General features: G+C 37.1%; 3 protein-coding genes across 12 annotated transcripts in view, besides 5 other annotated features; 1 reads left to right on the forward strand and 2 right to left on the reverse strand.

Moving 5' to 3' along the window:
- TUBE1 (tubulin epsilon 1) overlaps positions 1–169 on the reverse strand; it is a 16820-nt gene extending 16651 nt beyond the window's left edge. Inside the window, exon 1 of the mRNA NM_016262.5 lies at positions 97–169. Within this exon, the coding sequence (NP_057346.1) occupies positions 97–121 (25 nt within the window). The 5' untranslated portion in view covers positions 122–169. The remainder of the gene's footprint in view (positions 1–96) is intronic.
- Positions 1–414: part of an enhancer, noted in NCBI's record as "H3K27ac hESC enhancer chr6:112408399-112408930 (GRCh37/hg19 assembly coordinates)", that runs on past the window's edge. NCBI's record gives its function as "activates a minimal SCP1, AML or CMV promoter by ChIP-STARR-seq in naive H9 embryonic stem cells {active_cell/tissue: H9 hESC(naive)}" and the evidence as "EXISTENCE:reporter gene assay evidence [ECO:0000049][PMID:30033119]".
- Positions 149–338: an enhancer, noted in NCBI's record as "active region_24960". NCBI's record gives its function as "activates an Ori minimal core promoter by ATAC-STARR-seq in GM12878 lymphoblastoid cells {active_cell/tissue: GM12878}" and the evidence as "EXISTENCE:reporter gene assay evidence [ECO:0000049][PMID:35858748]".
- On the forward strand, positions 278–15477 carry FAM229B (family with sequence similarity 229 member B). Of its 3 annotated transcripts, none has more exons than NM_001033564.3 (4): positions 278–407; positions 9728–9888; positions 11957–12095; positions 13357–15477. In NM_001033564.3, exons 3-4 carry the CDS (start codon positions 11971–11973, stop codon positions 13472–13474), a joined length of 243 nt encoding a protein of 80 aa, NP_001028736.1. In that variant the 5' UTR covers positions 278–407; positions 9728–9888; positions 11957–11970; the 3' UTR covers positions 13475–15477. The 3 variants fall into 3 exon arrangements, with proteins under 3 accessions (NP_001028736.1, XP_016866663.1, XP_016866664.1); XM_017011174.3 differs by having other exon boundaries at positions 9731–9888; XM_017011175.3 differs by lacking the exon at positions 9728–9888.
- Positions 12930–13719: an enhancer, noted in NCBI's record as "OCT4-NANOG hESC enhancer chr6:112421446-112422235 (GRCh37/hg19 assembly coordinates)". NCBI's record gives its function as "activates a minimal SCP1, AML or CMV promoter by ChIP-STARR-seq in primed H9 embryonic stem cells {active_cell/tissue: H9 hESC(primed)}" and the evidence as "EXISTENCE:reporter gene assay evidence [ECO:0000049][PMID:30033119]".
- Positions 20618–27678, reverse strand: part of LAMA4 (laminin subunit alpha 4) — a 147055-nt gene continuing 139994 nt past the window's right edge. For all 8 annotated transcript variants that reach the window (XM_047418770.1, XM_047418769.1, XM_017010854.3 and 5 more), the window contains exons 37-39: positions 27350–27443; positions 26763–26882; positions 20618–22269 (exon numbers count right to left, since the gene is read on the reverse strand). In XM_047418770.1, coding sequence (XP_047274726.1) covers positions 22124–22269; positions 26763–26882; positions 27350–27443 — 360 coding nt within the window. In that variant the 3' untranslated portion in view covers positions 20618–22123. The remainder of the gene's footprint in view (positions 22270–26762; positions 26883–27349; positions 27444–27678) is intronic.
- Positions 25980–26180: a silencer, noted in NCBI's record as "peak6040 fragment used in MPRA reporter construct". NCBI's record gives its function as "represses an SCP1 promoter by STARR-seq MPRAs in K562 erythroleukemia cells {active_cell/tissue: K562}" and the evidence as "EXISTENCE:reporter gene assay evidence [ECO:0000049][PMID:32103011]".
- Positions 26160–26360: a silencer, noted in NCBI's record as "peak6041 fragment used in MPRA reporter construct". NCBI's record gives its function as "represses an SCP1 promoter by STARR-seq MPRAs in K562 erythroleukemia cells {active_cell/tissue: K562}" and the evidence as "EXISTENCE:reporter gene assay evidence [ECO:0000049][PMID:32103011]".

The following is a 27678-nucleotide window of genomic DNA, read 5'->3' on the forward strand; positions in this document are numbered from 1 at the left end:
CGGAGGAGAGGAAGGAAAGAGAATAGGACATTAAGCAGGAAACATGGCCGCTGGATTCCGCGGCGACCAGGTCTCTACCCGCCCGGCGTAGCTTACCCTGTACGACCACCGACTGGGTCATGGTGGTGCGCCGCCGGCTCCGGGAGCTTGCTAGCCCGCGGCCGCTTCTGCATTCCCCCAGCAACGGCGCTCTGCTAGAGAGCTGCCGTAAGTCACGCTACTGCCGCAAGCCTCTGCCGTCGCTAAGCACGTCTGTAGGTTCAGGCTAAGGTTTTCCGTCAGAAGGCCGCGCAAGTGCACTTGCGTGTCACCGTTACCGTAGCGACTGGGCTTCTGGACTGTATATCCTAGCTGCCTTGTCAACATCTTCGAGCATCGGCAGCTCCGGAGGCCGGGGTAACTGGCAGGTAACTAGGCTTTGGAGTGGTATTTTAAAATATGTGTCGTTAAGCTGTTCGTGGGCTATCAGAGGTTTAATTTTTGTTCACAGCCTCAACACCCGGGGCGGTGGATCAGTCCGTTTATTCAGATTCCACGGGACGCTGCGTTGGCATCTCTGTTCAACAAGCCCTTTATTCTAATAGAAAATGAACAATGGCGTTGAGCAAAGAGAAACCCCAGAGAAATAGTCATGTCAGGGCACAATTGAAACTAGATGGTTATACGCTTTGACAAAAATGGCAAAGCTAAGGTCACAGACCCAACCAGTATTTGTTGAACGCTGTATACTCCCCAAATTAACTTGTAGGCTCGCTGGGAAGATTAGAAAGAAATTAAGGCATAGATCCAGTTCCAAGAAGCTTACAATCTAATTGAAGACATACACGCGAAATACTTAAAGAATTGTGTGGCGTTGACTATAAGTGCAATAGGATTCAGTGGTTGAGGATGTAGATGAGTATGTAGAAGTCTGATAGAAGACACGAGATTAACACTAGGCATTTAGATGGGTATTTAGATGGGATAGGCAGGAGAAGATTAAAAAGTTAGGCATTATGACAATTACCAACTACTTAAAATTGTCAAACATTAAAATATGTAAACTTCTATTGATCAAATTAGACCAGATTTTAATTAAGAACTCAAGTACTTCTTTAATGAAATTAATATTTTCCACAAAAATTCTGAAGAACTACGAAACTCTAAGAAGTCTTCTTTGTTTAATAAAAAGTTATATGGTATGTGCTATGAATATGTGCTAATATGAACTGTAATATTCAATGGATTAGAACACTTTATTGTCCCACCAAGACACGTAGTAGTTACTATTAAATTTCTCTGGTAGCCGGTAGGTTTAAAGTTGCAATGGATTTTATATCTTTTGGTAATAGGCAGCTTTCGGTCAGTAAATTTTTGTAGGCTGGATTTATTCTTAACTTCTTACTGAGTATGGGGTCAGTGGTAGAGGTAAAGTTGGGCATTTTAGGTCTTGATGCTAAAGTCCCAACGTCTGGGGCTTCCAAAATTTGCAAGTCTTGGTCCAGTTTGTAGGCAGTGATGTGAATAGGTCTGTATCAGTGTGTTATCAGTGCTAGGTGAGATGATACACTGGCCTTTGCAGAGCCCTACCCTTCATGCAGTCCCAGTCATTATTCCCCACACAGGAAAGAAAAGTCCTAACACATCTTATTAATAACTTCAGTCTCTAGAGAATCAGACTGAGAGACAGTTCTGCTTAAGAGCCAAGCAAGGTAGAGCCTCACATGCCAGCCACTCCAAAACTTCCGTATATGCAAACCCGGGTGAGCCAAGTTGAGATCGGTTGAACCGCAGCGGGCTATTCAGAATATTATAAGCAAGAGAAATGTTTTTGGTTGAAATTACTGAAATTTTGGGGTGCAGTTTTATTGTAGTGATAGCTGACCAACATACAGAGCAAATAGAGTGAACAGAATTCCACATGCTGAAAATGAAAAAGAAAAAAATTATTGGGAATCCTATGGACTCCTAAAATTGAAGGAAGGAAGACAAGGATGGAAGGGAGAGAGGGAGGGAAGGGGGAGAGGAAGGAAGGAACGATGTAAAAGATGGATAAAGTACAAGACCTTGGGGTAAAACCTAGCCTAAGAGGGGAGAAAAGAAAATTCATCATATCTACTTTGTGCTGAAGAAGAACTTAAGAATATGAATGCAATAAAACAGGAACTTAAAGACAAGATACTAAAATAATAAGACTCAAGCTCTATGAGGGCTGAGTCTTGTTGTTTTATCCACTACTAGGGATAGTACCTTGCATATAGTAGATAGTAAATAAATATTTGATGAATAAATGAAATAAAATGGAGATAAAAGAACTAAGGAAATTAACTGAAGACAACAACATCCACCTTAAAGGACTTAAAGAAATAATTTTTAAAAGCATTTAAGAAGCAGACTAGAGAGATGCACATCAAATTATAATGTAGAGGAAAGTCTTAAAATAATAACAATACTAGGCAAAACCCAGAGATATGAAAGTTATTAAAAATAATATGTATGAAGGAGACAAAGATGGCTCAACATAAGATTAACATGTGCCCACAGCAAATGGAGGAAAAAATGTACTTGATAAAAAAAAAGGAAGAAAAATACATAGATTAAAAGGATACACACTATGTTCTATAGGACAATTTATAGAAAAATCAACACCAAGACATGCAGCCTCATTAAGGCATTCAACTTTTCAGAATAAAGAGAGAATTTTTTAGGTACCTAGGCATGAAATGAACGGGGGAGTGGGATGAAGAAAAAACAATTAATTAGAGTACTTTAGACTCATCTATATAGCACATTCAGTACTGGAAGGCATTGAAAACATGCTGCAAAGTTCTGAAGGGGAATAAAATGTTTTAGAAGAAAATTATTCTGTAGCTTTTGTAAGTTGTCATTAAAATATAATTCAGAGTTGTGGGTGGTCTGTTTTTATTCTTGCTTGCACACCGCCATTTCTGAGCTCATCTCTTTCTCATATAACTTGACAAACAGTAGCAACTGACATGTTATTGTTTTCCAGCCTCTTCTCCCAACATTTAAATTCATTAGTTAAATCACATGCCTTCTAGGTTATCACAGAGTTTTCCAAAGATTTTTCCCAATAGGTTTGTTCCTGGGTGACATAGATCACTATCCTTTTAGCTTTCCACAACAGTTTCCTTGTTAATTGCTGCTTGACCACTTAGGTATGGTGACTTATATTTTAGATTTTTGTTATAGCGGTACCTAAGTCTGGACCAAAGTCTGTATACATCAGCATAAACTTTGTTGTGCTGTGGTAACAATCAACCCCAAAATCTCAGTGGTGTAAAACAACAATTTTTTTTTTGTACATGATACATGTCCATTGAGGGGTGTCTGGGGGCTATGCTTTATGTTATCCCCCTTCTGGCACTCAGGCTGATGATCTGCCATTATTTGGTCCATTTTTGATTTGTTTGATTTTAAATTGATTAATTATTGTGTATATTAATGGGGTACAGTTGATTTTTTGATAAATATTTACATTGTGGAATGATTAAATCAATCTGATTAACATATCCATCATTTCACATACTCAGAATTTTTTTGTGATGAGAACATTTAAAATCTGCTCTTTTAGCAGTTCTGAAATATATATTATTAATAACTAGTCACCATGCTATGTAATAGATCTATAAAACTTATTCCTCCTAACTGAAACTTATTGTATCCGTTGGACATCTTTCTGATCTCTATCCCTGTCCCACCCTCCAGCTTTGCTACCCTCTGGTAACCACCATTCTACTCTCTACTTTTATGAGCTTGACTTTTTTAGATTCCACATCTAAGTGGAGTGTTTCTCTTTCTGTGGCTGGCTAATATCACTTAGCATAATGTCCTCCAGGTTTATCCATGTTGTCACAAATGACGGCATTTTCTTCTTTTTTAAGGCTGAATAGTATTCCATTGTGTATATATACCACATTTTCTTTATCTGTTTCTTTATTTGTTAGAGAGTATGCAAAAACAAAGCTCTGAAAATCTTTAAGGAGTTCCTCATGAGCCTAAACTGAGTGCTGATCCTTGCATGGATTCATGGAAACTATGTAAGACTGAGGAAAGAACCACTGGAAATAAGCGGGCAGAACAATTCCTAGGGTTCACATAGGGCTAGGACTAATTCACATTCCCCGTATCTTGAGTGGAGAAACCTTAAAATAGCTGGAACATTGAGTTGAGTACTCAGAAAGGTACCTCAGTAGTGAAGAAAAGTTAGCCCTGGATGAAAGGCTGTTGTAATCTAGCTTAAGAGAGCATGAAACCAAGCCTCCAAAGAACCAGGCTGTTTCCAAATAGCTGTGTCCCAGAACAAAACTTAAAAATACTTAGAGGAATAAAAATAAAATTGTTTAGCAATGTAAAATCACAATGCCTGGCACCCAAGTCAAAAATTGCCAGATATGCAAAGATGAGTCCCATAATGAGGTGAAAAATTAGTTAAAAACAGAACAAGAAATGGCACAAATGAAAGAATTAGTAAACATAATAATTACATAAAATTAAAAGAACATTAAAGCAGTATATGTTCAAGAGGACAGAAGGAAGCCCAGGCAGACTGAGAAGGGACAAAGAAATATGAAAAAGAGATCCCAATTAGACTTCTAGAGATGAAAAGTACAATATCTAAGGTGAAAAATGGATGGAATAAAGAGCAGATTAGACATTAGGCAAAAGAAAAGATTAGCAAACTTAAAGATGTAGCAATGGAAACTGTGCAAAATAAAACAGAGAACAAAAAGATTTTTTTAAAAAGGAGAACTAGTGCACTGTGGGACAACTTTCAACAGTGTAATATACATGTAACTGGCATGCCAGAGGAGGGAACAAAAAATACTTGAAGAAACAATGCCTAAAAAAATTTCAAATGTGATAAGTATTATGCACCCACAGATCCAAGAAGCTCGGTGAACCTTAGGCACAAGAAACAGAAAGAAACTATGCCAAGTACATTGTAATCAAATTGCTTAATATCAGTGATAAAAAGCAAATATTAAAGCCAGCCAGATAAAAAAGACATATTACATATAGAGGAACAAAGATAAAAAAATCAACAGACTTCTTGTTGGGAACAATGCAAGCTGGAACATAGTGGACCCAAATCTTTAAAGTACCTAAAGAAAACAAAACTGCTAATTGAGAATTCTATACCCAGTTAAAATATTGTTCCACAATGAATATGAAAAAAAGAGATATAAAAGCTAAATTAATTAATCACCAACAGACCAGCACTGTTAAATGAAACATTCAGGCAAAGGGAAAATTATGTTGTAAGAAAATCTGGACCTACTCAAAGGGATAAAGAGCACTGAAAATGATAAAAATGTAGATGAATATAGAAGGCATCTCTTGTTTTAAAGACAATTGCTTAAAGGAAAATGTATAACGACATGCATGGGGTTTGTACTATAGATAGAATTAAAGTATATGACAACAAAATTATATATAGTGGGAGAGGGGAAATGGAATATACTTTTATATGGTTCTTCTAGTATATGTGAAGTGGTATAATGTTATTTGGAAGTGAACTATGAAAAGTTAAATATGTATACTATAAACCCTAAAGTAACACAAAACAAAACACAAAGGTGTATAGTAATAAACCAATAATGGAATAAAATAGATTCATAAAATATATTCATTGATCCAAAAGAATGGAATAAGAAGAAAAGGACACAAAGAACTGATGGCACAAATAGAGTACAAAAAGCAAGATGGCAAATTTTAATTCAACCGTATCTATCATATTAAATATTAATATAAATGATAAAAATACCCTAATTTCAAGATAGAGGTCATCACAGTGGGTAAAATAAGCAAGACTCAAATATATACTGCTTACAAGAAACCCACTTGGAATATAATAACCAAATTGGTTAAAAATAAAAGAATAGGAAAAGATATGTCATACTAAAATCAATGAATGAAAAGTATCTATACAAGTATCAGAAAAGTAGACTATAGAGCAAAGATATCAGACATATTTCATAATGATAAAGGTGTCATTTCATCAAGAGGATATAACAATACTAAATATTTATGCACCAAATAATAGCTTCAAAATACCTGAAGTAAAAACTGCAGAATAGAAAGGAGAAGTAAATAAAATCACAATTATTGTTGGAGATTTCACACCCTTATTTCAATAGTTGATAAACCAAGTATATAGAAAATCAGTAAGAATATGGAAGACTTGAACAGTTCTATCAATCAACAAATCACTTACATAGAACAGTGAAGCCAACTATAGCAGCATGTACATTCAAGTGCGTGTGGAACATTTACCAAAGCAGTTTATATTCTGGCTATAAAAACAACTCTAAATAAATTTAAAAGAATTCAAGTCATACAACGAATATTCTCTGACAAAAATGGAACCTAATTAGAAATCAGTAACAGAAAAGTAGAATATTCCTAAATATTGGAAAATACTTATATAGAACACTGAAGCCAACTATAGCAGCATATACATTCAAGTATGTGTGAAACATTTACCAAGGCAGTTTATATTCTGGCTATAAAAACAAGTCTAAATAAATTTAAAAGGATTCAAGTGATACAAAGAATGTTCTCTAACAAAAATGGAACCTAATTAGAAATCAGTAACAGAAAAGTAGAATATTCCTAAATATTGGAAAATTAAACAATATAATTGTAAATAACCCATAGGTCAAAGAAGAAAAAGCAAAAAAATTTTAACTGAAGGAAATGAAAATACAAAATTAAAAAATTTGTGGAATGCAGCTAAAGGAGTGCTTTGATGGAAATTTATAGAATTAAATGTTTACATTAGAAAAGAAGAAAGCACTAAAATTAATGACCTAAGCTTCTACCTTAAGAAATTAGAAAAAGAAAAGCAAATTAAGCCCAAAGTAGACAGAAGAAAAGAAATAATAAAGATTGGAGTGGAAATAAAATAAATAGTAAATAGAAAATAGAGAAAAATCAATGAAACCTAAATATGTGTCCTGAGAAATTAAAATTATTTGATAGGCTTCCTTGTTCATAAGATAAAGTCTAAAATTTTAACTTGAGTTTTTGCTCCTGCGTGATTTGGCCTGTGCTTATGTCTCAGACTCCATTTATTTTCTGTTTTCCATGCTGTGGTTATGCTGGCCTTTCAGATTTTTTATTGTCTTTACTAGCATGACCTTTCCACATGCTGTTTTCCTCTTTGCCCCCTCCTCAACTGTGTCAATGTTTTTGTCTCCCACTCATTTCCACCTAATTAATGCCCCCCATCTCTTAGATTTAGATTAAATATCCTAGACTAAAACAAATCCTATCGTAACCTACAAACTCTACCACAACAGGAACTGTGTTTGTTTTTGCTTAATCTTTTATCTTTAACACTTAACACATGCCTGGCTCATGGTGGATTCTCAGCAAATATTCATTAAATGAATGAATGAATGAAGTCCATGGGTCTTTTTTTCTTAGAACATGACAAGTTCAAATATCACTCATTTTCTGCATCTCATGAATTAATATCTTGAGAATTGAAAGACTATTACTCTTGAGCTTGTGATACTTAAGGGGGTATTTGGATACTTCATCTTTTTATTCACCATTTGCATTGCTCTTGTTTATCTATTGCTTTATGAAAATATGCTGGAGACTCAAATTCCTTTTGTCTTCTGAGGTATCATTCTAATGTTGTAAAGTTTCATCATTAAGACTACTGTTTGGTTTGTTTCATTGTATCACCCATTCTAAAGAAGCATGGTATGCCAAATGGACTAGTTAAAATGGTAAATTACAGGATTTTAAGAATACCCCACTTACAGATATTTTACTTCATATATATCCATGACTAAAAGGTGAAATCAGTGTCTCAATACTCTGATTTCAAGAATGACACAAAAATATGTAGGAAGTAGTGCTGATTGAATTCTTGTGTCCCAGTTATTGGCTTTATACATGTTAGATTGTTTTTAATTCCTCACGACAACTCTGTAAGGTAGGAATTAATACCATTTTACAGACAAACTTTTAGTGATTTGCTTAAAATCTCAGAGCTAACATTGTGTCAAAATTCAAACCTGGCTGGGCACAGTGGGCTCATGCCTGTAACCTTAGCACTTTGGGAGGGTGAGGTGGGTGGATCACTTGAGCCCAGGAATTTGAGACTAGCCTGAGCAGCATGGTAAAACCCTCTATCTACAAAAAAATACAAAATTAGCTGGGCATAGTGGTGTGCACCTGTAGTCCCAGCTACTTGAGATGCTGAGGCAGGAGGATTGCTTGATTCCAGGAGGTCGAGGCTGCATGCAGTCAGCCATGATCATGCCACTGCACTCCAGCCTGGATGACAGAGCAAGACCCTGTCTCAAAAAAAAAAAAAAAAAAAAAAAAACCAAAAAAAAAAAAAAAGAAAAAAAAAAACCTCTAACCTAATTCTGATGCTAAAACCCATCATTCTCCCCACTGCTACCACCTCTCAAACATGTAAACTATTACATTTTTTGCCATCCTAAGGACCAAATGTTTAGGTCCTAATGATACCTTAGCTCACAATGGCCAGCAATTATTTGTTTGTGTGACTGTGACACCGTCAGTTATTTTTCCAAGCTGAAATGGTGATCAACTTATTCACAGATAGTACCCTAGTAAGAAAAAGAAGGTGGAGGTAAGATTGTATCCAACATCAAGTTAATTCTTATGTAAAATGCCAGTTTTCTATAACTTGAGTCATATGAAAACACAACAGTGGTAAAAATGCTCACTAACATTTAATAGTTTAGTCATCGGATATGAAAATTGAAAAACTGCTTAGCTGAAGAGTTATGTTCTGGTATAAGGGTTAAACTAAACATTACTGAGTAGAGGAGAAGTTCATGAGGTGGGCTATTGATCTAGAAGCCAAGAATGAGTTGGGAGAGGGAGAGCAGTTAGAGAAATGAGCAGAGAAGCAGCCCAGGGCTCAGGGAACAGAATAATGAGGACAGTACAAGATGTATTCTTCCTTTCGGCCGGGCGCGGTGGCTCACGCCTGTAATCCCAGCACTTTGGGAGGCCGAGGCGGGCGGATCACGAGGTCAGGAGATCGAGACCATCCTGGCTAACACGGTGAAACCCCATCTCTACTAAAAATAGAAAAAATTAGCCGGGTGTGGTGGCGGGTGCCTGTAGTCCCAGCTACTTGGGAGGCTGAGGCAGGAGAGTGGTGTGAACAGGTGAGGCAGAGCTTGCAGTGAGCCAAGATAGCACCACTGCACTCCAGCCTGGGTGACAGAGCGAGACTCTGTCTCAACAACAACAACAAAAAAGATGTATTCTTCCTTTCACAATTGTAATTATTCCAGCCATTTGGGAATTTGAAGACTCTCTTGAGGAAACAGGAAAAAAAAATAAAGTTAGTCCAGGCATTAGAGAGAGGGTGTAAAGAATCCCATGTAAGAGTTATAGAGAAATTTGTAAAGGTACAATTTGGGTTTGAGGATATTGGAGTGAGATGAGGATGTAGACAGATGGGATTTATTTGGGATGTTATAAGAGAAGGTCTGGGAGAGAAAGGGAATGAGGAAAACAGGATATAAAATGAGAAGAATCTCAATTCTGATTTACTACAGGTGGATTAGACTGTAGGTCCCCACTCATGGATGAAAATACTAATATTGTAGGGAAATAAGCCAGTAAAAACAAGAATGAAACTCTCCAAAAAGCTTTAGAGAAAATTTTTAGCTAAGCCTCAGCTTGTTGTTGGAGCTATGCATTGAGATGTTTGATTCTTTAGCAGGTAGGAAACTATGTGAAAGAATCTCCTGATGTCATAATTTCCGGGTGTCACCGGAACATTTGATCATCATTCCTTTGGCAATTCCAGCCTTCTGTGGAAAGGCCAGTAGAAAGCATTGATTTATTCACCTCTACAGGAATCAGACTCAGCCTCTTTTGGTAAGTCTATTTATCCTTGATCAAATTAGCTAAATGTTAATACCTGCATAGATAGGTAGTTATACTAAACCACAGAGTTTATTATGGTTTCACTAAATCATCATTGAGCGAAACACTTTTTTCTTGATATTGAGACAGTCTATAAAAGTTATCATATTCAAATTTTTAAACCTTAATTTAGTTTTATTATTAACACCAATAAACATTCACTTTTAGGCATAGAATACTGTACTAGGCATAAGAAATAGTTGCACCATTTTAAATTTTTCCTACCCTTTGTGTACTAATAGTTGAATACATTGTATACTAATAGTTGAATACATTGTGTACTAATAGCTGAAAACATTGTGTACTAATAGCTGAAAACATTGTGTACTAATAGTTGAAAACATTGTGTACTAATAGTTGAAAACATTGTGTACTAATAGTTGAATACATTGTGTACTAATAGTTGAAAACAGTGTGTACTAATAGTTGAAAACATTGTGTACTAATAGTTGAATACATTGTGTACTAATAGTTGAAAACATTGTGTACTAATAGTTGAATACATTGTGTACTAATAGTTGAATACATGCAAGTTATTTCAGGGTAGAGCTATTAAATGTCCACTGTGTGACAAGCACTGTTCTAGGTATTAAGTATTCAGGGATGACAAAGACAGACTTGGAATGAGGGGGGATATTAAACATTTACAAAAAATGAGGGTAGTGTTTCTCAACAGTGGGCAGTTTTGCCTCTCTCTCCCACCAGGGGACATTTGACAATGTCTATAGACATTTTGGGCTGTCACAATTTTGGGAGAGGGGTACTCTTTGCATCCAGTGGGTAAAGGCCTTGAATGCTGCGAAACATCCTACAGTGCACAGGACAGTATCCTCCCTCCCCAGCTAAGAACTATCTGATCCCAGCTGTGAATAGTGTCATGGTTGAGAAACCCTGAATTAGAAGGATAACTGTTACGAAGGAGAAATAAAGGTTGCTATGAAAACTTAGATAATGGGGGTTATAAAAGTAAGTTATAGAGTAAGTAAAATGTAAATTCAGACTTAATGGATTGCATTGGCCATAGCAAGTGAAGGGTGGGAGCAGGGGGTAGGGAAGTGTTCCAAGGTAGGCAGTAAGGAGTTCATTTATATGTGTTTGTGTGTGTATTTCATAATAAATTTCATATCTCAGGTATACTTGCAGACATTTATATATACTTACTAATGCTCAGTAGTACCTGCTAAATAATAATAGTTAACATTTACTGAGCACTTACTGTGTGTTAGGCACTGCACTTTACGTGTATTACCTTACTTAATCCTCACTATTATCCTAGAAGTAGAAAATATTATCACCAATGTACCCTTGAGAAATATAGATAAGTACCTTGACTGAAGATCACATAGTTGGGAAGGGCCAGAGCCAGGGACTATACTGTGACTATAGAGAAGCAGTGGGGAAATGAATAATCCCCTGGAACTGAAGGATTAGCTAAAGATATCTTGGTGAATGTGAAACTGTGCTCCAAAGGAAGAGAAGGGCATAGATAGGTAGAGAGGTGCTTGTTGATTGCAACAACCATTTAAAGGCATACAGAATTTTGTTTTCACACGGCAGAAATGGTCTTCAGTTATGTTAACCATAGAGTATTTTCCTTGCGTTGCTTGGTGGCTATTTTGTATTTTTTGCAAGACTTAAATTGTACATAAGGGATAGTTGTGAAATACAGTATTTTAAACACTATTTTTAGCTATTTAAAAATAGAATAACATTCAGAATGTTTCTGTATGTCTATAACAAAATAGTAATATTAAAAATTCCAAGGGCAGGCACGTTGTGTGCACCTGTAGTTCCAGTTACTCAGGAGGCTGAGGCAGGAGGATCACTTAAGCCCAGGGTTTCAAAATTGTAGTGCACTATGATTGCACTGGTGAATAACCATTGCACTCCAGCCTGGCCAACATAGTGAGACTCTGACTCTTTAAAACATTCCATGCAAGTCTTTGAAGACAATCTATCTCCACCCCCAATATTTTAATTTTCTAATCTAGGTTTTCAATATTTTAACTTTCCGATCTAGGTTTTCAGTGAAGTATGCCTTTTCAATTTGGAACCCAGCCAAGGAGGTTTCCAGTGGAAGGAGGAGATTCTTCAATTGAGCTGGAACCTGGGCTGAGCTCCAGTGCTGCCTGTAATGGGAAGGAGATGTCACCAACCAGGTAAAGTCTTCTGTCCTCACAAGTGAGGAGATATGTATTGGCTATCATCAATACAACCTTCAGCTGATATTCATTATTAGCAAGAAAAAACTCTCAGCAATTCAAAAACATTGTTGTTTCTAAGTTAGCGTATTAACAGAGCCCAGTTTTCCTTAGTGTAGAGTCTGTATTTTGTATTTCTGTAAGTCTTGATGATAGAGCAATTCATTCTCTGTCTTTCTGGTACATTTTTAGCTATTAACAACAACAACAAAAACACAATTACCTTTGCACCAACCTAATAGATTGTTTTGTTGATAGCTTCACGATTAGATAACATTCAATTAAACAAACAAAACTTCAGTGCTAGTATGCACAGGGCACTGTGCTAGGCATAAGGCTAAAAATATGAAAAAGACTTAGACCTCAGAGTTAATGTCACTTTGGCTTTGATTAGTATCACTTTGGCTTTGCTGCGACCTTTGGCAGAAAGAGTGATATAGAATCTGAAGATTCTGTGAGACAAAGTGTTTTTGCAGAATGATTAGTTCCATTTCTCTGATGTTTACCATAGCAAAACCTTAAATACTACATTGTTAGATTCTCATGGCTTGGAAATTTTGGGAACACAGATTTAAGTTTAACAGGTGTAGGTATTTAAAAATCGGAGTTAGTCAAGGATAAAATGGGCTGCTTTGGGAAGTAGTGAGCTCCCGATCTTTAGAAATGCTAAAGGCTGAATGACTATTTGGTGGGAATGTTGGAAAGGAAATTCATATATTCGATGTATTTTTGAACTAGGTGTCATTTAAGGGCCATTTCAAATCTGAGATTCTATCAACATTTGAACAGTATGTGGAATACTATGTTCAGTTTTGTATTTTACCACAAACATTCTTGTTTTGAAATCACTCAACTAAGGTGATTTAGGGTGCAAATGCACATGAATTGCCACGGTATTGTCACTTATGTTTGTAACTATGCACTTTTGTTTTGCCATTTAGCAATCATTGCATACCTTTCAAAATCAACATCCGGAGGATTATCTTTGAATATATGAATTTCCTGTGATTAAATATGTACGTCAGAGGCCACAATTTCTTTGTTATATCCATCTAAAATGGGTGCCTCGTCAGCATCACCATGTTGTACTCATTGTATGACATTCAGAGATTTCAAAGTGATTTAAAACAGTTAAATATACAATCAAACTTTGGTGCTCTGAAAAAAAATATTTCCTCTTTTTAGTATCTAACTACATGTCATCTGCTTTTTTATTCAGGCAACTCCGGAGGTGCCCTGGAAGTCATTGCCTGACAATAACTGATGTTCCCGTCACTGTTTATGCAACAACGAGAAAGCCACCTGCACAAAGCAGCAAGGAAATGCATCCTAAATAGCACCATTAAGTCTTTTGTCAAGGTCTGACTAGGTCAAGGGTAATGGACCAGTATCATCTGGTGATCTGGTAAACAAATAAAAGTGGTGGCACCTTTAGATGATGACAACAGTTGAGCTCTTTACTTTTAGTAAGACCGACAGAAATGTAGTCAGTAAAGCACATGTAGTGATAGGCTATCAGTTATGTCTGATACATAAGACAGAATAATATTTCACAATTAGAAAGTACCTTAGAGATCATCTTGCTCACAGTAGATCATTAATATCAATAATTAAAGATGAAGCTTAATCCACCATGGTCATCAGTCAGGTGGGGCTTATTCTAAATGCTTAATGTGTCTTAAGCTCATTTCCTTGTTCATATTTGGGTTGCTACTTGGCTAAATCCTTTCACCTTAGTACCCTAAGCCAGTTTCCTGGCTTGATACTATTTGATAATGCTCTGCTCAGGAATGATTATATTGGGTGAGAAATGGAGCCCTGGGGTTGTGTGTTTTGGAACAGTATTCAAGATCAAAGAAAGTTCTTAGTCCATGGTTAATCTGCAAGGCATTTAAGCCACTTCCATAGAGGAGCCCAGATTGTTGGTTAAATATATTGATAATGAAGTCAAAGCTGTGGTTCCAACCCCGATTTTTCCAAGAAAAATGACGTCTGGTTATCACTTTGTACACGAAGTGCTAACCAGGTATCTTGATAAATTGTTTACAGTAGGTATTGAGAAACCTCATGTGGATTTTTTAATTTGGTTAGATGTGGGATCACTTTTGAGGATGAGGCCAGCTCTCTATGTTCTCTTTTTCTTCTTGCAGTAGTCCCCAGAAACTCAGTCTGCTTTCCTTTTCTCTCGATGGCTGTCAGCACCCATCTAATGAAATTGTCTTCTCCAAAAGACTGACTTTAGGATCAGATACAATTTTCACCAGTGTTTTTTGTCTACCTTGCTGCTTCTGAAAATATACATATAAGCCTTTTAAAATGAAAAGTTTATTAACTTATAATTAAATAGACGTAGATGCATATGTGTTGCATTAGGTGAAAAGAAAAACTGCCAGGGAGTTATAAGAGGAAAAACTCTCAGAGCTCACACTGAGCTGGGAGAAGTTTGAATGCCAACCAGTTAAAGTGGAAAGATCTTGAACATGTGGGGCATTGAGTAGAGACTCAGAAAGGTTGTACTTTCATAAGAGATCCAAACTGGAGCTAGACTAAAGGCTAATGTATACCAATTTTAAGAAAGCTTAAAAATAAGCCTTGAGAGACTCAAGATGATCTCTAAGTAACCTCATTTTATCTGCCAAATAAAAATAGAACATTCCTTAAAGGAAGAAAACAAAATCGAGGCAGGAAATTGCCTGAGGCTGGAGAAAAAATGACAGGAAGGAGAAAGGAGTGATGAAAAATTCCTCAGAGGGCTGGGCTTGGTGGCTCATGCCTGTAATCCTGGCACTTTGGGAGGCCGAAGTGGATGGATTATCTGAGGTCAGGCATTCGAAGCCAGCCTGGCCAACATGGTGAAACCCCGACTCTACTAAAAATACAAAAATTAGTCGGGTATGATGGGCAGGTGCCTGTAATTCCAGCTACTTGGGAGGCTGAGGCAGGAAAATAGCTTGAACCCAGGAGGCAGAGGTTGCAGTGAGCTGAGATTGCATCACTGTGCTCCAGCCTAGGCAACAGAGTGAGACTTTGTCTCAAAAAAAAAGAAAAACAAAGAAAAATTCCTCAGAGCTCATACAAGGCTGGGTAGAATATGTGTTTCAACAATAGTGGATCTTTTAATATAGTACATGGATCATTGAGTAGAGTCTTCAGCAAAATATTGGCAAAGTAGGGTTAGGGTTAGGTTAGGGAGATGGGAATAGACTGAAGACTACTCTGGACTTGCCCTAACAGAGTTTAAGAGCAACATTTGAAAGGATCAAACTGATTTCAAGTAACTTGAGTGCATCCAAGGGGAGAAAACCCATCAAAATAAAAATAAAAACTACAATAAAATCCAGCACCAAAAGTGTAACATTCACAATGATTAGCATCTAATAAAAAGTTACCAGGCATGAAAAAAAAAAGGAAAAGGCAATCCACAGTCAAGAGAATCTTTAGTCAATGGTAATAGACTGAGAATGACAGATGATGGCATTAGTAAATGATATGGTTTGGCTCTGCGTCCCAACGCAAATCTCATGTTGAATTGTAACCCCCAGTGTTGGGGGAGGGACCTGATAGGAGGTGACTGGATTATGGTGAACACCTATATGGATATGAATATGGAGTATTCTCCATGGATATGGAGAACACCCCTTGGTGTTCTCATAATAGTGAATGAGTTCTCATGAGATCTGGTTGTTTAAAAGCGTGTAGCACTTCCTTCTTTTCCCTCTGTGTCTCCTGCTCCACCATGGTAAGATGTGCTTGCTTCCCTTTGCCTTCTGCCATTGTAAGTTTCCTGAGGCCTCCTAGCCATGCTTCCTGTTAAGCCTGTGGAACTGCATCATTTAAACCTCCTTTCTTCCTAAATTACACAGTCTCAGGTAGTTCTTTATAGCAGTGTGAAAATGGACAAATACAGTAGATCAGCTACCATAAATATCGTTCAAGTAGTAGATAAAAACATAATGAAGAAATAAATGGAAGGTATAAAAATGACCCAAATAGAACTTTTAGAGATGAAAAATACAATATCTGAAGTAAGAATATACACTGAATAGGATTAAGAGATTAGATACTGGAGAAGAAAATATTAATGAACTTGAATATATAGCTATATAAATTATCCAACATTAAGTACAAAGAAAAAAGCGTATAAGTTTTGTGTTTCATTATCAAGCAGTCTAATATATATGTAAGTGGCTTCTCAGAAGAATGGAGGGGGATAGAAAAATATTTGAAGAAATAATGGTCAAATTTTCCCCCAATTTGATGAAAACTATAAACTCACAGATCCAAGTATCTTAACCAACCCTAAGGAGAAGCAACATGAAAACAAAACAATGACATGTCCTAATTAAATTGAAGAGAAAAATCTTAAAACTTGATAGTAAATGACACATGCATTCAGAGAAAGAAACATAAGAATGAGAGCACACTTTTCATCAGAAGATATGAAGGCAAAAAGGCAATGGAGCAGTATCTTTAAAGTATCTTTCAAAAATGAAGGTGAAGTAAAGACTTTTCAGCCAAACAAATGCTGAGAGAATTAATCACTAGCAGATCTACACTATAAAAAATGTTCAAGGAAGTTTTTCAGGCAGAAAGAAAATGGTACTAGATGGAAATTTGGATCTTTAGAAAGAAAGAACACAAGAAATGGAAAATATGTGGATAAATATATAGGCTTTAAAATTTTTTAAGCACTAATAGATAACCGTTTAAGGCAAACTATGGCAATGATATTTTATGTAAAAGTATAATGTATAATACTAGCAAAAAAACAAAGGAGGAGGAAAATAGAAGTTTACTTTTGTAATTCTTAGACTATTTGTGAAATGACATAATGGTATTTGACAATAGACTGATGAAGTAAAACTTGAGTTATCTCTAAAACCTAACAAACAGAGTTAGAGCTAATACAGTAGCTCTAATTATTGTATGGTGGAGAGTAAATGTAATAAATATTACTCATTTAATTCTAAAGAAGACAGGAAAAGAGGAAAGAAGGAACAAAGATAATACATTTAAACCATATGATATTGATATTTGCATTAATTACAGAAGGTCTAAATTTCAGTTAAAAGGCAGAGATTATCAGATTGGCTAGAAAAGAAGATGCAACTATGAGCTGTCTACATGAGCCCACCTTAAATACTAAGACTCAGATAAATTAAAAGTATAAAAGGATAGAAATAGATATGCCATGCAGACATTAATCTGAAGAAAGCTGGAGTAGCTATGTTAATAATAGACAAGAAGATTTCAGAGCAAAGAATTTACAGAGGTAAAGAGAGACAATTCATAATGATAAAGGGGTCAAGACATCAAGAATACCTAACAATCTTAAATGTTTATGCCAGAGCTTCAAAGTACATGAAGCAAAAACTGATGCAATTGAAAGAAGAACTAACTCCACATTTGTAGTTCAGGATTTCAGCTGGTAGAACAAGTAAACAGAATCAGTAGGGATATAGAGGACATGACAATTGATATAGAACACTTTACCTAGGAACAGCAGAATACTGTATATTCTTTTCAAGTGCACATGGAAAATTTACCAAGTAGAACATATTGTAGGCCACAAAACAAGTTTCAATAAATTGAAAAGTATTCAAAGTATGGAAGGGTAGGCAAAGTATGTCCTACAGTAGAATTAAATTATAAGTTAACAATAGAAAGATACCTAGAGAATCTCCAAATATTGGAATACTAAGTGATACACTTCTGAATAACCCATGAATAAAAGAAGAAATGACTGAATAAATTAGAAAGTGCTTTGAACTGGATGAAAACAAAAACACAGCATATCAAAATGCATGGGTAGCGCTTAGAGAGAATTAAGGCAATAAATTATTTCATTAGAAAAGAAGAAACATCTCAAGGCAATGATCTAAGCTTCTACCTTAAGAAAACAGAAAAAAATGAGCAAACTAAATCCAAAATAAGCAGAAAGAAAGAAGTAATAAAGAGCAGAAACAATGATATAAGAGCAGATAAATAATAGAGAAAATCAATAGAAACAAAAGCTGGTTCTTAAAAAAGATCAATAAAATTGATAAACCTCTAGGTAGAATTATCAGGAAATAAAAAGACACAAATTATCAAATCAGGAATGATAGTAGGGGCATCACTACAGATTTAAGAAACTACCATCAGAGTGAACAGGCAACCTACAGAATGGGAGAGAATGTTTGCAATCTGCTCATCTGACAAAGGGCTAATATCCAGAATCTACAATGAACTCAAACAAATCTACAAGAAAAAAACAGCCCCATCAAAAAGTGGGCGAAGGATATGAACAGACACTTCTCAAAAGAAGACATTTATGTAGCCAAAAGACACATGAAAAAATGCTCATCATCACTGGCCATCAGAGAAATGCAAATCAAAACCACAATGAGATACCATCTCACACCAGTTAGAATGGCGATCATTAAAAAGTCAGGAAACAACAGGTGCTGGAGAGGATGTGGAGAGATAGGAACACTTTTACACTGTTGGTGGGACTGTAAACTAGTTCAACCATTGTGGAAGTCGGTGTGGTGATTCCTCAGGAATCTTGAGATATAAATACCATTTGACCATTTCACCCAGCAATCCCATTACTGGATATATACCCAAAGGATTATAAAACATGCTGCTATAAAGACACATATACACGTATGTTTATTGTGGCACTATTCACAATAGCAAAGACTTGGAACCAACCCAAATGTCCAACAATGATAGACTGGATTAAGAAAATGTGGCACATATATACCATGGAATACTATGCAGCCATAAAAAATGATGAGTTCATGTCTTTTGTAGAGACATGGATGAAGCTGGAAACCATCATTCTCAGCAAACTATTGCAAGGACAAAAAACCAAACACCGTATGTTCTCACTCATAGGTGGGAACTGAACAATGAGAACACATGGACACAGGAAGGGGAACATCACACATTGGGGCCTGTTGTGGTGAGGGGGGAGTGGGGAGGGATAGCATTAGGAGATATACTTAATGTTAAATGACGAGTTGATGGGCTCAGCACACCAACATGGCACATGTATACATATGTAACTAACCTGCACATTGTACCCTAAAATTTAAAGTAAAAAAAAAAAAACATTAAAAGGATAAATAGAGTTTTCAGCAGTATGAATTCTTTAATTCTTTAGTCTTCCAAGGCCTTTACCCTGAATAAATTGCCTTCCCACATTTCTTACATTTCCAGGTGTAAGCTTTCTGTAAGGGAATATTACAAATAGGTCCTAGGGCAACCTGGTGACACCATGCTTTCATAACCTTCCATCTGGCTGACATCAGCTCATTAATCAACAGTTTTTAGACAGGATCATTTGACAACATGTTCTGTTGAGGTTGCTGGTTTAGCTCTCTGTAAACTATGGTCTGGCTGGGCTGGTGAGGGACTCAAGCCTGAGCAGCCACCATCACTACACTTGAGAAGTTCCTTGAGAGATTCAACTGTTTCTTCCGGCTGCTAGGGTCATGCTACATTCCACTTACGTTTCTGCCTTCCTGTCCCATGCTTTGGCAGATCATCAGGCTTTCACCCCTAATCTCATCTTCCTTGTGCCCACCTCATCCTGTCCTCTAGCAGTCTTCTCTGGGAATGGTGTCCTTGGGTGCTGTGATGTTTAGAAACTGAGTGGTCCTATTCATGGTAGCCAAACTTCTTACCTACTTTTTCAGGACTTAAAAGGTTATCAGAGAGACCTGAGGGAGTGCTTTTTGTCTCTCTGAGGACTTCAGGCTTCTCTCCCACACCTCCCTCTCTCCCTCAGGCTTCTCCCTGCACCCTCAGGCAAGCCAGAGATTTCTGGGGCTCAGTCGAACTCAGATGGAGAAGTCACTGTCCATTTTTCCCTTTTCTCAGACTTCCAGGAAATTTACAAGTCAAGTGATTGCCTTAGGAGGTGAGGTGAGGGGATAACTTTATGGAAACTGGGCTTCCTTTAAATGCTCTCGTTATGAGCATATACTTACCTGCCAGGCACTGGTCTCAGCTCTTACAACATATCAGTGAATAACACAGATGAAAATTTATGGTGCTCACATTTTGGACGGGCATGTTCAGTTGGCTTTCTATACTCTACATAGACTCTGTGTGTGCCATTTGCTGCAGGTTTGTGTGTGTGGTGTTGGGGGCATCATGGTGTTGCACTGCCAGTTGTGCTGAAATGGTTTCTCTCACCCAGTCCTAAAGAAGGGATTGGCCCCTAGAAACCTGCTGCCCTTCTAGATGAGTCAAAGCAAGTGCCCTCTTGATTTTCCCAGTGAGACCCTGCCAGCTCACTACTTTATGGTACCTCTCTGGCTCTGGTCAGCTGGAAGGCAGATAGTCTTTGGAGGCAGGGAACCAAGGTGACAATCATGCTGCTCCTGGAGGCAGGCAGTCTTGTTTTGACTACCGGCTTCTTGGTCCAGCTGAATGACAGTGGGCGAGTTATCTGAGCTGCAAATATTACCTCAAAGGATTAGTGGAATGAACAAATAAAATAATTAACTTTAGCTTATCATGGTGGCTGGCACTTAGTAAGTCCTCTATGAACAGACATTAGCTATGTTTATCGATATCTTCAACATTATCATTATTTGTATATTTCAGACAGAAGGGTAGCAGGGGATATAGGTAGGTATGGACATATATACCAATATGTAATATATATATAATCATTTCAAGGTAACATTGTTTTATTCCCCTTGGTAATTCCTCAAAATATTTTATATCCTCTCCCCTCAAAAGTTACTCCTTTTATGTATTGTTAATTCTGTTGATATCAGGGCCTATTTTCTCTTTTTCTGTCTTCTGAGTTGAGGTTTTTAGATATAATTCTTTTATTTCATTTCTATATTTTAATATTCTACCAGCTATTCAAGTCCATTTTTTTCTAGACTATATTAATGTAGCTACTTGGAAAAAAGATTATAACATTTTAGAAATAAGACTAGTTGTGTTGCAGGTATGTGGAGAGCACACTTTGTTTTTGAGACAGGATCTCACTCTGTTGCCCAGGCTGGAGTGCAGGTACAGTCAGCAGTCATAGCTCACTGCAGCCTTGAACTCCTGAGCTTAAGCGATCCTCCCGTCTCAGCCTCCCAAGTAGCTGGGACTACAGGTGTATGCCCATGTACAAATTTTTTTGCAGAGATGGGATCTCATTATGTTGCCCAGGCTAGGAGCAAACTTTTAATAAAAGGACTTGTGTACTCTTAAATTGAATTTTATGATTTTGTCCTACTGTTTTTGCTGTGATATCCTCAATGATTCCCATAGAACACACAATAATGGTAATAATAACCTACAGAAGCCTCCTCTCATGTACAATTTTATTTTTCTTTTAAGGAGATAAGGAAGGGGAAAAAGTAGTTGATTTCCTGTGTTTCTTATTTAGAAAAAATTAAATTATACTGCATTTTTCTAGTATTCTGTTAGAAATTTACTTTATTAAACCTTGATAACTTCAGCTATAAACCTAAAATATTCTTCTTATACTGATAGACCAAACAAAAGGGCTAAAAACAAATCTATCATCTAATTTAGATTATATGTAAGTTAGTAAGTCTCTTCAAAATAAAGAAAGGTAGTTTTAGGACAGAGATTTTTATATAGATTGAAAGTTATCTTCCCTGGAAGAAAGGTGAATCTGAGAATCTAGCCGCACTTCAAAAATGTGTGCAAGTGTTTATTTGGAATCCCTTCTATTTTATTAGAAACAGAAACAGTAATTTCACCAGTAGGAATTGCGTGTGCTCTCAATACAAGTAAGTTTGCCACTCCTTCAATTGTTGTCCATTGCAGACACTTTGGATTCAAGGTTAAGAATCCAAATGAGAAATAAGAAATATCCGGTCCCTGATGATTCGTTTAAGTCCTGTTCAACTCGATGAAAGCTTCCACCCGAAGGAAGAGTTACTGTTCCTCCTGGCTGGCTTTGTGTTTCTTTCAGTGCTCTAAAGAACTTTGTATTTGGGCAGCTGTGCTCTGTCATGTCAGGCTGCTGGACAGGAGTTGATGCTTACGGCGCCGCTGACCAGGGCTGCTTTACTGAAGCTCACTGGGTGTCCATCAATCACAAAGTGGCGTATGCAGCCTGTGAAGGGTTTGCTGGGGGCCAAGCGTGGTGTCAGTAGAGATTCTGAAAAGAGCAAGAAATAAAAACAAAGATTGCAATTGAGGTATTCCAAGCCCAAATATTACTTCCTGGTAAAAGTATACATATTTGCTCATATCATCAATATGATTTACATTTCAAAAATAGAACATAGTTATAATTGACTCATTTCTCAGTAACATTATTTGCTTGTGAAGTCCTATGGACATGTGGTAATTTTAACGTTTTGCCATGTTTTCCATGATCACATTTCTGTGTATTGTAGCTGTCTTTCAAGGCTGAAATTTACCACTTACATGTAAAGCCTCAGCAGTGAATTTTCATGATCTACCTATGTTTTTTAAAGTTAATTTCACCTGGGCCTCACTTATAATGTGTACTTTGCTAAGAAGGAGGAAAGAAATTTTAGCTTCCACACTATTTTTGGACTTGGTTAATATTTCTGTTTAATTCATTACCCTTCACCCTTAAGCCTCTACATTTTTGCCTGTTCATAAAATATAATGAGAAAGTAATGAATTCGAATAAACTAAGATTCAATTTTTCTGAGCTCAGGGTTTAAGAACTATAAATAGGGTAATGATAACTCGCTTAGTCTTTGTGTGGGCACAAGTGCCCTGTGGTATGCCAAGGGAACTTTCTCCTCTTAATTAGAAATCTAGAAGAAGCCTTATGCTTATTAATTGTACAGACACAATTAAATGTGTTAGGATGATAGAAGCAATATAATTTAAAGCGATTTAGAGAGCTTAGAAATATAAAATTAAAATCCATTTAGCCAAAGCTTATTATTATTTACAAACAGCTATGTGAGCAGTAGCAGATAAAGGATGGAAAACACTTAGAAATCAGTAATTCAGGAAAGAACATAGAACAGCAAATGAAACATCAGCAAGCAGCTGTAATAAGTTTTCTAAGCAATGTAGGGTAAGAATATGCAGAAGCTGTGTACTGAAAATAAATCATGGAAATAGCATTTTATATTTAGAATGATAATCATAAAAGTTTTAGATTTGGAAGGGGCCTGAGAGATCAATTCCCTTTATTGTCTCTAGATTAGTGTGACTATTCTTCAAGCCTGCTCAGTGTACTTCATCATTTGGGTAAGAAATGAGTGAACAGGAATGCTTATAAGAGGTAGAAACATCTAATACTTCTGCTTACTTTGGAGACCTGACTTAGAACTTAGGTTTTGATTCTGCCCAAGCTTACCATCCTTTGGCTTATGAGGGAAATCATCTGGAGGTAATAATTCATGTAGCAGTTAGTGGTCTGAATAATTCACCATACAATTAATTGTAGGTAGTGACAGTACAGTGCCCTAGGATCCTAAGTAATTGATTAATGAAATTAATGCATAATTTTTAGAGAGAATGTTTCCCAGGTTGAATGCTTGACTATATACAAATAATGCAGGATTTTCAGTAGAGGAATGAATGGTTAGACCCATGGGTGGGCTACATTAACAAAACCTTTTTATTTTATTATTATTATTATTTTGAGACAGAGTCTCACTTTGTGGCCCAGGCTAGAGTGCAGCGGTGTGATCTGTGCTCACTATAGTCTCCAGTTCCTGGGTTCAAGCGATTCCGCTGCCTCAGCCTCCTGAGTAGCTGGAGGGATTACAGGCACTCACCACCACACTCAGCTATTTTTTGTATCTTTAATAGAGATGGGGTTTTGCCATGTTGGCCAGGCTGGTTTCCACCTCCTGAGCTCAAGTGATCCACCCACCTTGGCCTCCCAAAGTGCTAGGATTACAGGCGCGAGCCACCATGTCCGGCAGAAAAAAAATTCTTTGATTTTTAATTTTGATTTTAAAACTATCACACACTAAAGTTGACTTTTTTGGTGTGTAGTTCTAGGAATTTTATGCGTTAGCTTTTTATGGATAGAAATAATGAGTCACCAGAGTTCTGAGTGGTATTCTTGGAGAATTCAGTGCATTTAGGGGTTTTATTTAGCCTAATTTCTTTAGCTATCCTCTTAATGCCTGGTTTCTGATGTGATTTTAGTGGAATTAATCTTGAACAGCTCAAAATGATATAATTAATTACATTTCATCTTAAAGTATAGTTGCTTTTATTCTAGGCTTGCTGGCATAATTCTTAGATGGACTTAAAAGCTGCAGTGGTGCAGTGGGCTGGTGGTTACGCCCTTCTGGCCTGCTAGCTCCTGTGCTGGCTCATTAACTAAAGTTTGCTATTCATTCTGTGTTTCAGGCAGGCTGAATTTGGCTTTAGGTACATCTTGCCTGTCCAGTCTGTAGGGCTTAGCAACTCTTGTAGTGAGGGATGATGGCAGTGTGTGAGGCTGGGATCAGACTGTGAAAGCAAACAAACAAACAAAAACCAAAGAGAAATATCTGTTTGAAAGATGTAGTAAGTACGTTGGGTGGCATAGTGAAGGACAAATACTCCAACTTCCATGAGGGAGGGCCATGCTTGTTTTGTCCACCTCCCAAAGCCTAGCACAATGCTTAATAGACAATCCATGCTGTGTGTTGGATATAGTCATGTTCCCTGCCATCAAGGAATGCACTTCTTAGTTTCAACAATATTCTGTGCTAAGTGCTACAACAGCAGTATGTGTATACATCCTAGGGGGAAAGGGGCGTGTTGTAAGTAAAAGTCTGAGCTGAGTCCTAAAGGTCAATAGGAGTTAGAATGGGGAGGAATAGGAGAAGTTGTTTCTTAACAAAGGTACTAGGGGAGGAAAGGAAGAACATTTCCCAGAAATTGAGGCCCAGTTCCCTTATGGAAAGGCCCGGAGCAAAGATACCATCGTTGAACATTTAGGAACTGCAAGTCCCAGAAGGTGTGGGGAGATCCCGAAGGCAGGGACAAGGAGGAGACAGATGATCAGGGAGCTTGCATGCTATGGTGAATTTAATCCTGGAGGCTCTTGGGAACCTGTGAAACATTTTAAACTGTGTTGTGATTTCTGGAGGGAAGCAATGTGCAGAAATATGCACTCATGTGAGACTTTTTCATGCTGCACCTGCATGAAGTGCAGTGCTGGCCTTTGCCAGAATCCTTTCAAAGCTGAAGTCAGGAACAGGGAGAGGACTGGGGAATGGAGAGGGGAGTGGAAGCAGGAGACAAAGGAGAAGAGTTGCTTTGCGAGGGTCTCAAATATTTTTTTTCACACCGGGTTACTATTATTGTCAATACTAGTATTTGAAAAATTCAGACAAAGAAGAGTGCTTAGTTGTTACTATTTTTGGAGTACCCAAGGTCAGATGCTTAATTTTATCTGTGCTTCTTGCTCTCTTCTTTAAAGCATTGTCTGTCTTTATGGGTCAGTTTAAAAATAATCTATTAGAAGATTATTAAAATCTCCACCAAGCCAAGCACAGAAAGACAAATATCATGTGTCCTCACTCACATACATGAGCTTAAGAAGTAAATCTCATGGAGAGAGGTAGAGAGTAGTTGGTAGTTACTAGAGGCTGGGAAGGGAAGGGGGAAGAAGGAGATGAAAATAACTTGGTTAATGGATACAAAAATACAGTTAGATAGAAGGAATAATTTCTAGAATTTCATAGTACAATAGGGAAATTATAGTTAAGGATAATTTATTGTGCATTTCAAAATAGCTAGAAGAGAAGAATTGTAATGTTACCAACACAAAGAAAAGATAAATGTTTTAGGTGGTGGATATTGCAATTATCCTGATTTGATCATTACACATTGTATACAGGTATCAAAATATCACATGTACCCCCAAAATATGTACAACTATGATATGTCAATTAAAAACTCCCCACCAAGTTCCAGCTGCAAAAGCTGGGTTATTTCCCTTTTAAATCCCACTCCCCAGCCATAGCATTCAGGTTTTCCAAGTTAGTGAAATGTGTAAAAACAAATGCATTCAATATGAGGACATGGTCCTTGCTTCACAGGTTTAAAACAATTGGGGTGTTTGTGTGTTGTCCATAAGTGTCCTGTCACCATCCGGGATTATACACCATTCTTGGCAGATGACAGCAGCAGTGACTGATGATGTTTACAGAATTGCAGCTGGGAACCTCTCTGAGGGAATGTCACTACCAATGGACAACAACTTATGGTCTGCAGCTGTTTTTGCAGTTCAGACTAATCATGGACCGAACTGTGCATTTTTTCCTACTGAGGAAGGGGAGCAACTAACAGCAAACTTAATCCTCCAAAGTTCTCAGATCCTACTGTAGTGTTAGTCAATGAGTTTTCTTTGTGTTAGAGATAAAATAAGAGTATGTGTGTCACTGTGTGTATGTGTGTGGCGGGCACTTAAAAGGGAAAGGAAAGAAAAAAATAAGCAAATATGGCAAGGGAGAGTAATAGCCACTGGCTGGAATGCTGGGGTCTAGTTCTTACATGTCACTTTATTATGCCTTTTCCATTTAAACAACACTGTATATAAAATCCTTTGAGTAACTAGGTGCATCATAAAAACACATGGCTCAATTCTACAATAACAATTGTGAGAACTCAGTTTTTTGGATTGGGAACTTTTCCTTTTTAAACAACACTTACCTGGAACACCTCCAACAAACACAGGCTCCCTGTGATCAATTGGTTTTGGATTCAGGGGTCCAACCACATGGTTCACTTCAGAGTCCACATCCAACTGAACCACATTAGAATCTCTAATAACTGAAATGCAGGGCAAAGACTGGTCATAAGTGGCACTGGAGTGATGAATTTTTAACCTGAGAAAGACTATTTATCACAGCAATTGCTTTTATTTATTCCAGAATAAAACCCACACTTTCTTCTATATTATTAAAATCATCAATGATGTCTAACAATGTCTAACCAAGAGATTACTGTAACATTTTCCTTAGAAAGGGAGAATATTTAGAATATTCTTGTGCTACTTTTTTTTGCCCTATAAGTTATGCATTATTGAAGCAACCCCTTAACACAATTTTGCAGCGTTCATATTTTGAAATCACATGTGGATTCAGTATACACATAATAGTATAATAACATGATTTTCTTTTCTTGGATACTTTTAGACTGTCATGCATTACCTATCATATAAGTGATAGCCTAAGTTCTGCCAGATCATAATCTTACAGTTGGGTGTGCAGGCTCCCCAGGGCAGTCAGTTTTCTCACCTGTAATTCTGTGCCATCTGCCATCACAGAGACTCTGCTTGGGTGTAACTGAGGTGGAAAAATCTCTGATGCCATTATTGACTTTCACTATGACCTGCAAAAGATAGGACACATTGTATGATTTAGTTTGTCCTCATTGTGATAAAACTGAATTTCTTAAATAATTTACCACAGTGAAGCAATACTTCAACAAATATTCACACATGATTAGCTTTGCAATTTGAACACAAGGGTCTTTGGCAGCCTATAGAAATAGGTTCAACTGGGGGTGCTCTTTGGGGAGAGAACAAAGTGACTTCATAGGGGAGAAAATTGCGAGAGAGGGACAA

Source organism: Homo sapiens, chromosome 6, assembly GCF_000001405.40.
Source record: "Homo sapiens chromosome 6, GRCh38.p14 Primary Assembly".
Taxonomy (NCBI): domain Eukaryota; kingdom Metazoa; phylum Chordata; class Mammalia; order Primates; family Hominidae; genus Homo; species Homo sapiens.